This window comes from Homo sapiens, chromosome 10 (genome assembly GCF_000001405.40).
Source record: "Homo sapiens chromosome 10, GRCh38.p14 Primary Assembly".
Classification (NCBI taxonomy): Eukaryota; Metazoa; Chordata; class Mammalia; order Primates; family Hominidae; genus Homo; species Homo sapiens.
This window is the reverse complement of record NC_000010.11, coordinates 60,077,017-60,089,576: the sequence shown is the minus strand read 5'-3', so window position 1 is coordinate 60,089,576 and position 12,560 is coordinate 60,077,017. Positions and strand designations below refer to the sequence as shown.

General features: G+C 37.6%; 1 protein-coding gene across 5 annotated transcripts in view; it reads left to right on the top strand.

Annotated features, from left to right (window-relative positions):
- Window positions 1–12,560, top strand: part of ANK3 (ankyrin 3) — a 707,231-nt gene that overhangs the window by 643,952 nt on the left and 50,719 nt on the right. For 4 of the 5 annotated variants that reach the window (NM_001204403.2, NM_001204404.2, NM_001320874.2 and 1 more), the window contains 7 exons: window positions 1,219–1,430; window positions 2,693–2,900; window positions 4,324–4,420; window positions 4,747–4,975; window positions 5,960–6,085; window positions 6,840–6,962; window positions 8,959–9,040. In NM_001204403.2, the coding sequence (NP_001191332.1) occupies window positions 1,219–1,430; window positions 2,693–2,900; window positions 4,324–4,420; window positions 4,747–4,975; window positions 5,960–6,085; window positions 6,840–6,962; window positions 8,959–9,040 (1,077 nt within the window). Of the gene's footprint in view, window positions 1–1,218; window positions 1,431–2,692; window positions 2,901–4,323; window positions 4,421–4,746; window positions 4,976–5,959; window positions 6,086–6,839; window positions 6,963–7,400; window positions 7,428–8,958; window positions 9,041–12,560 lie in introns of all 5 variants that reach the window. The other variant, NM_020987.5, reaches the window with a different exon arrangement.

The following is a 12,560-nucleotide window of genomic DNA, read 5'->3' as shown; positions in this document are numbered from 1 at the left end:
TTAATCATTTATTCCAATGAAGCCCACCAGAATTATGCATAAAATTTGGCTTTGAAACACACATACATACACACACACACACACACACACACACACACACACACACACACACACACAACCTGGATGGACTGGAGTGAGAGAGGTGAGTTGGTTGGGAGGTGGTCTTAGCAATTAGGCAAACTAAAACAGGGCCTGAACACCCGGGTGACAGGAGGGTGAGCCACGTCCAAAAGAGAATCAACTGGACTTGGACTTTGACCATTTGTTAAGGAAGTTGAGTCATAACTATTAGAGTGAAGGAATGAGCAGATTGTAAACCCTTCCTAGAGTTAGGACTATGGAGGAAAGTACTTTTGGAGGTAGACAGCAGGGAAGAAGATGTATCCATTTGTGGACAGGTTGAGTTCCACGCATGAGAGCCATCAGTGGGCACAAAGAAATTGGTGATGATGATGCTAAACATTTGGATAACTTTAAAATATTTGAAAGAGGTTTTTAAATGAAGTTCTGGAACTTTCAGGCATACTTAAGTTCTTATTCACTTTCTTATGAGGCCTCACTTTTTTTTCTTTTTCCTAACTCATTTCTACTTTTGGCAGCTTGGGGGCAAATTATTGTAAATTCCCATTCTTGTTCTTGAAAACTGGGAATTTATCCACAGGTGGCAAAATGTCAGTTCTTGAAAATGTTTGTTCCCACTCTGTAAAAATATTTTCTACAAATACTTATATTAATAGTTTTATAATATTTTTGCAAAACCCAATATTTTATGGTCACTACCATTTTCTCTTTATCATAAAAACTGTTTAGGCTATGGAGTATAAATGATTTTGACTATTAAAATGATGTATTGCCTGGGCCCAGTGGCTCATGCCTGTAATCCCAGCACCTTGGGAGGTCGAGGCGGGCAGATCACCGGAGGTCGCGAGTTCGAGACCATCCTGGCCAACATGGAGAAACCCTGTCTCTACTGAGAATACAAAATTAGCTGGGCATGGAGGTGCATGCCCGTAATCCCAGCTACTTGGGAGGCTGAGGCAGGAGAATCACTTGAACCCAGAAGGCTGAGGTTGTGGTGAGCCAAGATCACGCCATTGCACTTCAGCCTGGGTAACAAGAGTGAAACTCCATCTCAAAAAAAAAGATATATCATTTTGACTTAAGGTATGTTGTAGATATGCTTATTCTCATGGCATTTTCTTTCATTTGTCTTTTCAGAACTTGATAGCCCAGAAGAGTTAGGGAAAAAGCGTATCTGCAGGATTATCACGAAAGATTTCCCCCAGTATTTTGCAGTGGTTTCCCGGATTAAGCAGGAAAGCAACCAGATTGGTCCTGAAGGTGGAATTCTGAGCAGCACCACAGTGCCCCTTGTTCAAGCATCTTTCCCAGAGGGTGCCCTAACTAAAAGAATTCGAGTGGGCCTCCAGGTAATGTTCACAAAAAGTTGTTTCCCTCAGTATGCGCAGAGAGCATGTGAGTGCATGTTTTGCTCTGGAAAGAGTTATTCTAACATCCTAATGATACTGCTAATTAGGCCGTTTGGGGAATCATTTACCTATTTCAGATAAAAAGCATCAAGTATAAAGTTAGCTTACTGGCTTGTTAAATAAGGTACATATTTTAGGGTTGTTCTGTTTAAAAGTCTCAGTTGGTTTCTGATGAAAAATAATTTTTTAAATCATAGGTTATTGGTCTCAGTATGTGGAACAACATACCAAGCCATGGTTTATGATATGCCACATCATAAAAATCAGTTATAGTGAAGCCTGCAGACTTTAGTGTTTTCATTTGATTGAAGTAAATCATAAATACTGGGTTTTATCCAAACCAGTTGGAACTTGATTTGGTTTGGAAAGCTGGCTGGAAATCTTGGATCAAAAGATTTTTCTTGTGTTTATTTCAGCTAGACTTTAGTTCTTTTTTTCTTTATTGAATAAGGAAAATGAACTAAAGTAACTTAATAGATGTTATTAATATTGTAATTAATAGTTTAACTGAAGGTTCATGTTCTTCTTGTGAGGCTGGACTCTCCTGCCCAATGGAGTTAACTGGGTTTTGTTTGTTTGTTTTGAGCCAAGCATACTTAAGTCCTGAGATGACCTTTAATAAGTAGTTAGCACTAACGAGACCACCTTACATTTCAGGGGTATGAAGCTCCCTTCACCTGCCTCCCATACCAAGTTATTTTACCAAACAGAAAAGAAACCAAGTGGTAGAAGAGAGGCTTAGTAGACTAGAATTGAAATCTTTTGAAATTTTGAATGCATTTTGTTATTAACTCTGAAAGCCTCGGTTTTTATGTGGGTATGAGTTGCCTTTAGGAGGTTTTACTGAATGTCCTGCATAGGTTTAAAATATATTGGACTCAGCATTTATTGTCCTTTAATCTGGACTAGACTAAGAAACTTCTATGCCGTGAGACTGGATCCCCTCTCTTTCCTGCAAGCCAGTGCTATTTGTGTTCTACTGGGGAAATACTCAGACTGACCAATTCCTGTCATAGTGTTTGGTTTCGTTTATTCATGCTTTCCTAAAATAGTAAGAAAGGTTAAAAAAGACCTGGGTTTTTTTTTTTTTTTTTTGGTTGTCTGTTTTTGTTTTTTTCCTTCTCACTTAAAAAGTAAACTTCATGATTGGGAAAAAAAAAAAAAAAAGTCACTTTCATTTAAAGTCCTTTCTCTGTCTCTAGGCCCAGCCTGTTCCAGATGAAATTGTGAAAAAGATCCTTGGAAACAAAGCAACTTTTAGCCCAATTGTCACTGTGGAACCAAGAAGACGGAAATTCCATAAACCAATCACAATGACCATTCCGGTGCCCCCGCCCTCAGGAGAAGGTGTATCCAATGGATACAAAGGGGACACTACACCCAATCTGCGTCTTCTCTGTAGCATTACAGGTTTGGTTAAGTCACTGCTGTACTTCCTATTGATTCACAAAGATTGTGTACAAAGATATATTTGTGTACAAAGATATAAAACCTTTGAAATATCCATGCCAACATTATAAGAGAAAATAAAAGAACAAAACATTTTACTTGTCCATCACCTCATCTCTGGTTTCCCAAGGATCATTTCTTGGGAAGATCCTGGTCAAGATCCTGGTCTCATGACTCATTTAAAATTTAGTGATAGCATCTTTCCTGCTATTAAGGTTAGCATTAGTAGAAGTATCATTGAATCTACTGGAGCATCTAGGTAATTTCTAGATTCAATCTAGGTAATTTCTTGGTGACCTAGACAGAGGTAATGGACTTAGCAACATACTTTAAACTACAAGGAAATTGGGTGGACTTTGGGAAAAATACATGTCCCACAGAGCACTAGTAATAGGAAATTGTTCAGTACATGGTTATTCTCACCTACTGTACTCGCCAGTGTAATCCGAGAGTTTAAACATTCAGGGCTCAGAAGAACACATTTTGTGATAAGCACCTGGAATCTAGAGCTCAATTCATCCTTTGATTATCCTAGTCCGATTTTTAACTGCAATTCCAAGATTATTAAAGATAGATTTTGTTTTTGATCTTCTTTTGTTCTCTGAGGAGTAATTTTAATGGCTGATGCCCCTTTTTACCCTCGGTAATTAATTGTACAGAATGCCATGTACAGAATGAGCTGTTTCTTAACTTTGGTAGTTCTTACCTTTTTAAAGAGTAAGAGGCTGGGCGCGGTGGCTCACGCCTGTAATCCCAGCACTTTGGGAAGCCAAGGCGGTGGATCACCTGAGGTCAGGAGTTCGAGACCAGCCTGGCCAACATGATGAAACCCCGTCTCTACTAAAAATACAAAACTTAGCTGGGCGTGGTCGCAGGCACCTGTAATCCCAGCTACTGGGGAGGCTGAGGCAGGAGAATCGCTTGAACCCAGGAGGCGGAGGTTGCAGTGAGCCGAGATCGCACCATTGCACTCCAGTCTTGGCAACAAGAGCGAGACTCCGTCTCAAAAAAAAAAAAAAAAAAAAAAGAGTAAGAGACTTAATTATCCATCTGAAACAACCAATCTTTGCACTTACAAATTGCATTTATAAAATATACTTATAAATTGTGGCTGCCCCAAGTTTAAGCCATTCATTAGTACCCAGACAAAAAACAAGGAATTTTTTTTTAATTTAATATCATCTTACAAGGAAATCACAATAAGCCTGGTAAAAGTATAAAAGGAGAGTAGAGAGGAAAACTACCTTTAGTACACACTATTAAACTGAAGGTGTTGAAGTTTTGCCAGTTTGTGGCTATGCAGAAAGAAGAACAGGATCTGATGAAAATTTTACAAGGAGCATCTCCCATGATAAAGTCAACATATCTGCTGTTGTTCTCTCAGGGGGCACTTCGCCTGCTCAGTGGGAAGACATCACAGGAACAACTCCTTTGACGTTTATAAAAGATTGTGTCTCCTTTACAACCAATGTTTCAGCCAGGTATGGAAATAAAGGATTCCAAAAAGCAGTAAGGAATTAGTTTTTATTACCTTTTGGAAAGTAAAAATTGTTGTGTTCAATACTAAAAAAAATTGTTGTGAGAAAAAAAATCCGTAGTATTTGCTTATCAAAATTATCCTCAAATAACAAACAGAGGGTTTCTGTGTTTGATACATCGAAAAAGCATCTTTGCTGTTTAAATGAACAAGTTAATAACGTTTTGGGTTAGTTCCTTTACATATTCTGATTTTTTTAATTGTGAGTCTTTTTAAGATTTGGCTTTTAAATAGCCACATTTTCATACTTCTGTTTTTTGTTTTGCTCAGATTTTGGCTTGCAGACTGCCATCAAGTTTTAGAAACTGTGGGGTTAGCCACGCAACTGTACAGAGAATTGATATGTGTTCCATATATGGCCAAGTTTGTTGTTTTTGCCAAAATGAATGATCCCGTAGAATCTTCCTTGCGATGTTTCTGCATGACAGATGACAAAGTGGACAAAACTTTAGAGCAACAAGAGAATTTTGAGGAAGTCGCAAGAAGCAAAGATATTGAGGTACCTTGTTCACAAAAACAAGTTCATTTCATTACGTACTCCAGATATGAGGTTTTATTTTGTGGTCTTAATAGCACTCACTATAAAATACCAAGTGCATTATTGATTTTACTTTTACTTTAAAAAATTTGATATAGATTAATACTCAAATTTTTTTATCTTTTTTAATTTAATTTAATTTAATTTTTTTTTTTTTGAGACGGAGCCTTGCTCTGTTGCCGAGGCTGGAGTGCAGTGGCGCGGTCTCAGCTTACTGCAACCTCCGCCTCCTGGGTTCAAACAATTCTCCTGCCTCAGCCTCCCAAGTAGCTCGGATTACAGGCGCCTGCCACCATGCCCAGCTAATTTTCTGTATTTTCAGTAGAGATGGGGTTTCACCATGTTAGCCAGGCTGGTCTCAAACTCCTGACCTCGTGATCCACCCACCTTGGCCTCCCAAAGCGCTGGCATTACATGAGTCACCACGCCCGGCCAATACTCAAATTATTTTAAGTGTCTCTGGGGCTGTCTTAGCTGGTTAAAACATAGCACTAATGAATTTAAGTTATGGTCTCCATTTTCCTGTGGCCACTTGAGTTACCTACTTTTCAGAATCACTGTTTATACACATTACTATGATTTTCCTTTTTCAAACCCAGTGAGCATGTAAGTATCTAACAGTGCAAAAAAAAAAAAAAAGCTTTCAAAATCTATACGAATAAGTGATTGATGTCAGGCACATTCTTAAATATTTTTAAAGTTGCCAGAATAAAAATAAATGTGTAATTCTGTTCTGTATATGTCCATGATATGGATTCCAATTACAGTTGGTGAGTTGTAAGCACACAACATTATTTTTGTTGCAAATAGCACCACAGAAGTAACTGCCTAATAGAGACACGTGTAACATAGTAACGTCAGTCTTTTAACGTTACGTGACATAAAATCTCAAAATATTTTAAACTCAGATTAACATTAAATTGTTTATTTCTTTTACTCTAAAAGGTTCTGGAAGGAAAACCTATTTATGTTGATTGTTATGGAAATTTGGCCCCACTTACCAAAGGAGGACAGCAACTTGTTTTTAACTTTTATTCTTTCAAAGAAAATAGACTGCCATTTTCCATCAAGGTAAATCATCTTTAACAGAGAATCTGTGAATTATGGGGAAAAAATACTCTTAGAGAATAAAAATAAAAGGTTTTAATGATTTATTTAATTTGAAATACCCCGTCAAATCTGAACTCATAAGGTCAGATTTTGTTCTGGTTCTACCAGAGTATACTTTCAAGCCAGTAAAGCTTTACAATTGGTAAAAAGGATCATTATTTTTCAAAGAGTTTAATAACATTTATGTTTAAGCAAACATTTGTAAAACCAAACAATTTAGAGTAATACAATGTGTTATTTCTGGTTAATGTTCAGTAATCAAATAATGGATGAAATGCAAATACAGTATTCAAGTTTCATTTTCATTTCTGGTGGAGCCCAGGGACGTTCTAGAGGGATCACCTTCTCTCTCCAAGAACAGAAGGAGAGAGGAAAATTGTTTTGTCATTATTATTTGCTGTTACTGTTGCAAAAGCTGGAGCTTTCAGAAAAAAAAACTGTTAGAAGGAAAATGCACATAACTCAGACTGTACTATGAATTGTCAGGATTAGATCATCAGACACAACAATCCTGCGTTTAGGAATCGGGCATCTAACTCTTGCTGAGTTCAGATGTGACCACCCCGGTTGCTGCATAATCGTAATCATCATCTTTTCCCTTTACCTTTCCTGCCTCTCATAGGGCTTGATAAAACAACCATGCTTAACTCTTATACAGTTAAAAATCCTCAGATAAGTCTCATTCTATAACCATCAACTACCAAAATTCTTCTAGATTAGAGACACCAGCCAAGAGCCCTGTGGTCGTCTGTCTTTTCTGAAAGAACCAAAGACAACAAAAGGACTGCCTCAAACAGCGGTTTGCAACTTAAATATCACTCTGCCAGCACATAAAAAGGTATCTTTTAATACTGCTTTAAATTGTCTTTCCCTGGTCTTGAAGAAGTGGGCCTTTGGTATGCAATTAAGGAATGCTTTGTAACATGAATAAAGCTCTTGAAACTGAAGTTGTATTAGTCTCCTCGTGTAGATTGCCTAAGTCTTGTTAATGTGGTGTCAAATTCTTATAGTTTGTATGATGGAGTCTTCTCTGTTTATCGCTTTTGCTTCTGCTGGTAGCGCATAGATTTTTATGCTTTTAAATAACGTCATATGTTAATTTGCCATGGATGTACAGTTCTTGATATTTTTTGTTGGCTTTTTTTAAAATTTGCTTTGCTTTCTAAATCAGCTTGCATTTGTGCTCCCTACTCAGTCCTTTTCATATCCTGATATTCTTTTCCCTGCTGTCCATTATAATATTCCTTGTCTCTGCAATGCATCTTGGAACCAAAAGGAGACAGAGTCAGATCAAGATGATGAGGTAATATAAACACTTCTGCTTTTATTCTATCAGAAGTAGAATAGAAATTGAATCTGTATGACAGAAGTTGCAGAGGGCTAAAGTGTGGGAAACATATAAATTATATTTTTCAGGTCTTAAGTAGGTAAAAGGGTATATATTTTTCTTAAATGGTTCACTCTTCTTCCACACGTACTTAAGAGTACTTAAATATATTCAACGAAATTATAATTCAGCTGATGATTCAGAAACTGAAGGTCTTTAAACATTTTTAAATATGGTAGATTGGCATGTATAAATAAACGTTAAAAATTTTTTTAGACAAGTCAAGTGCAATAGTGAGAAAGGGGGAAAAGAGTAGGACCAGGAAGTTCTATCTATGACTGACGAGAACAGTCAACTGAGATAACGCACTACCTTCGAACCCGCCAAATAGACATTTTGTGAAAGTTTCATGTGCCTATTTTACTATCAACTATATCCTACTATCCAGCATGTTATAACATTTAAATCAAGATCACGTTTAATATGTGCAATTTTATTGTACAAATAAACTTATGTTGTATGTGATACAAAATATTTGCTTACTAGCTATTGATAAATCTTTGATACTCTCACTAAAGAAATTTATCTTGACCATTTTTTTAAGAATATAGTTCAATTAAGTTGTCTCCTAATGTTTCTCTAAGTTATATGATAATTAGGTTTTTGAATCCCACACATCAATAGTAATAAATAGAATCAAGTAGCCTTAGGATGCAGTAATAGTACCTCTGGCCAGGCGTGGTGGCTCACGCCTGTAATCCTAGCACTTTGGGAGGCCGAGGCGGGGATGGGGTGGGGGAATCACCTGAGGTCAGGAGTTCGACACCAGCCTAGCCAACATGGCAAAACCCTGTCTCTACTAAAAATACAAAAATTAGCTGGACGTGGTGCTGCATGCCTGTAATCCCATCTACTCAGGAGGCTGAGGCAGAATTGCTTGATCCCAGGAGGCAGAGGTTGCAGTGAGGCGGGATCTCACCACTGTACTCCAGCCTGGGCTACAAGAGCAAGACTCCGTCCCTACCCTCCTCTGCCCGCCCCACCAAAAAAAAAGTACTTCTAACAAAACCATTCATCTGTTTTCAATCTCCTCATCTACACTTTATGCCTGTTAACATACAGAATCCCCAGCAGTAATTGGAATAATAAACTTTGTGTGCCTTTCTCCCTTGAATGTACTCACATAGAGTGAGTGTACTTTGTGATATATGTGCTTTCAATATGAACAGTTCCAGGAAAATTTAATGCTCAGCATCAGAAGTCTCTGTAATGCTTGTCTTTTACTTGTACTTCCCTGTAGTCTGCTGTGTTGGTGCTCTTAAATTTGCCAAATGATGATTTTGGTTAAGACATGGGGGGTGGGGTTACAAAATCCCAGTGGGAAATTAACATTTCCTAAGAAGGAAAATAAACAAGTTATCAACATGCCATCCTACAAAATGTCTTAAAACTGAAGATGTCACAGGGAAGTTGGAAATAGAGTTGTCTTTTTTTTTTTCCTTTTCAGATTGAGAAAACAGATAGACGACAGAGCTTCGCATCCTTAGCTTTACGTAAGCGCTACAGCTACTTGACTGAGCCTGGAATGAGTGAGTTTCCTAACACATTTACTAATCTACGTGGATTTTCATAAGAAGAGACATTTTTTCTATACAAACCAAATTTTATCATTTGGAAACTCAATGGCAAAAGAAAAATTGCCTGCAGGAAAACCCTGTCATACAACCTAAGTAATATTTTGTGCCTAGTTGAAGATGTGAGGTAAAAACGCCCCTAGCTCATACTTCAAAACAGTTTTTAAAGCCATTAACTATTTTTAAATTAGAAACATGTATTACTTTTCTTTTAAAACCTTGATTTTTACTTTGATTAACTATGCTAGGAGATAAATATGAATGTTGCTTTAGATCTATGCTCAGATGAAAAAAATTACTCAAATATTTGGAATGGTAGAAAAATGATAAAGTTACTTTGTCATCTCATTTTTCTCAGTATAGATAGGTTGTCATATCCTAGTCCCGATTCTTTTTCTTCCCACTTTGCAAGAATCACGTTTCCTTACCTTCTTGAGGTAGCACTTGTTTACAGAGTTCTTCTTTCCTCCCTCCCTCCCTCTCACTTCCTCTCCTCCTGTCCTTTATTAAAATATCAGTTCTAAGGCTGGTCTTCACTAGACCAGTTAGACCCTTTTCTTTTCTCAATGATCGTTTTGGTTCATTGTTAGCTGGCATGCACTTATTAAGATACAGATTCATTCAGTCCTATCTGTTTATATATTCTCCCTCTCTCTCTCTCTTTCTGTCTGCCTCCTCCTCCCTTTCCTTCCATCATCCTTGTAATCATCACCTCTGGTGATCTCTACAGCCCTCAAGATAACCCCCTCCACCAGCAGGAACTAAGGGTATTGAGCTCAGCATTGTATTTGACTGACATATTGGTGCCACTTTAACCATTCTCCTCATTTTAAATGAGGGGAAATTATACAAAAATTATTTTTTAATTAGTGAATCATTCCTAGCTGTTTCCCACTGACACAGTTTCTTAAGTTCAAGGAGGTCTGGAAATTTGCCAGTAAGAGTCACATCTTTGGCTTTTCCCACCTTTTCTGAAGTCTTGTTTTTATGGGCCAACAGCATAGCATATAAGATCTGCGGCAGGACACTACTGCACCACTTAGTTGAGATGGTCTTAGCGTCATCTTCTGGAGCCTAGCTCCTTGACTATTAGAGAAGTTTCAATATTTAAATACAAAATGGAGAATATAAGAGAAATGAAAGAAACCTACCACATTCAAGAATGTTTCCTCAGATCTCTGTTCTCCTCTAGCAGAAATGTCGAAATCCTCCCAGAAACATAAGGGCTGAAATTAACTCATATTATGCTACAGAGCAGAAGAGGGGTGTGTGTGTGTGTGTGTGTGTGTGTGTGTGTGTGTGTGTGTGTGTGTGTGTAGCTAGGTAGCTAGGTGGTTTCCAGTAGAATTAAATACACTGGGGAAGTTTTCTTTGGAATACTATTTTGCCCTAGAGATCCTCAGTGGGTAGTTGGTTGAGACCCTGTAGGCAACATCGTTAAGCTTTGGACAGGCTCAATGGACCAGCCGCTTTAGGTCGGAGGCCCCTTCAGGCAGGTGAGTTTCCATCTGATTCTGGTTGCTAAGGCAAAGTCAATTGAATGTTTCCCACTTATAATAGTGTTACTGGTTAGATCCAGCTAAGGTGTATGCAGCTTGTGTTCCTGGACTTTTGGTAGAAGAGGAGCGAAGTTTTCTGTTTTATGAAAGGGTACATAAGGGTGGTAAACAAGGGAATGAATAGGAATAGGAAGTGACTAAAAGAAAAGTAAGTCTCAAAACTGGTGTTATGGGAACTCCAAGTGAATGCCACTTTTCCTTCACCACGCTGCCTTTCCAACCCCTTCCCCCCAGGAAAAAGATTCTGGATTAGTTCGGTGCCTGACATCCAGAAATTCCCTCTTATAAAGGGATCCCAAAATATATGTCATTAAAGCATAAAATGTGTAACTGATTGGTAGGTTGGTTGTTCCTTGCGAAGTATAAAACCATAGACGTGGTTCAAAAGATTTCTTTGCCTGATAGAGCCAGCCTTCAGTGGTAAAGGATAGATGCTTTGTCAGTGTCTGATAGTTACAAAAATAAATGCTTGTGAGACACAGACTAAGCTCAAATCATTGAATTTGAAGGAATCTGCAAACCTTCCATTTGCAGCGTGGCATTTCCAAAAGAGTTCAGCAATATAATATTGAGAATTATGGCAAGAAGGGGTAATGAATAGGCGAGTTTTTCCTTAGTTCTTCCACTTTCTTTAGAATAATATGTAAGCCTAGGAAAGGATATGTTTGGAATGTTTGAATTTAAATGTACACTAGAAATGACCATCTTCACCCTTGTGAGAGTAGCTGCTAATCCAAAGACTGGACTGTAGCAATGGCACGGGCACAGCATGAAGAAGAACATAAAAGCTGAAGCAGATTCTCATTTTCTCTTTGAGTTTCACTATTCTGAACCAGGGCTTTCTTGGAGCAAAACTGTATTCACCTTTGATGTAGAACATTAGCCGTTGGCAGGCCTTGCAAATCTCTGACCAGTTTGGTTTGTTTGAGTTGTAGAAGCAGAGAGGACCAAGTATGTGTTTGTGCTCCCCAGCAAGTGTGCTTACTTCATTTGTGTGTTTCTTGCTCCATTGCCAGAAGAAATGCTGGTATTACTATATCCATTCTTCCTAGTGGTAGGTCTCCCTCGTGACTGCTTCAGTGTTTGTGATATCCATAAGTCCCATGAATATTATGGGAAGGCACCAGAATTGGTACCTTTGAAATTGATAAACATATATACACACACCCCACATATCCTACTGTAGGTACTTAAATATGGGGTGTTAAAAATATGAATGTAGTTTTTAGATGTCCCCCATGATAGCTTTTGAAAATTAAATGTAGATTAGGTTATGAAAAAATATCTGAGATAAACTATATGCTTTTATCCATATTGAAGAGTTGCAGACATGGACGTATGTAGTTGCAGGTCATTTTATAACTTGCAGTAGAAAATATTTTCCTAAAATCTCAAAAGGTACCAAGACTTCATATCTCATGGAAAAAGTGTACTCTTCTTTCTAAATGCCCTTGTGAAAGTATCTTTAAAGTTTATATATTGTGCATAATATGGCATACGAATTGTATTACTTCATTGGCTTGTTTGCCATGATATATTGTGCATGATAAAATGTTTTCAGTTGCTTTGCTTGCTTATGGTAACCATGAACCATATTTTCTGTTTTTTTCTTTGTGTGTGTATATGTACACATGCATTTTAAAGTCATTTCATATTATGTTTTCTTTTCCTCTCATCAAAAGGAATATACTGCATGGAAAAGATAAATGCAAACATTCCTTTTCTTTGTTTTTTTTGTTTAAAATTCTGACTCAGAAAACTTCTTGCTCTTATTGGCTTTTTATGGGTGTAAAGCATAACCGAACTGTGCATGGGAGATACAGATTTAAAATCCAGTGGCTTCACAGTTTGCACATCAGTTGCCTGTCACTTAAAAGTTATTTTGGATTCTGCATGAAATAGGCTTGAGTGGTTTT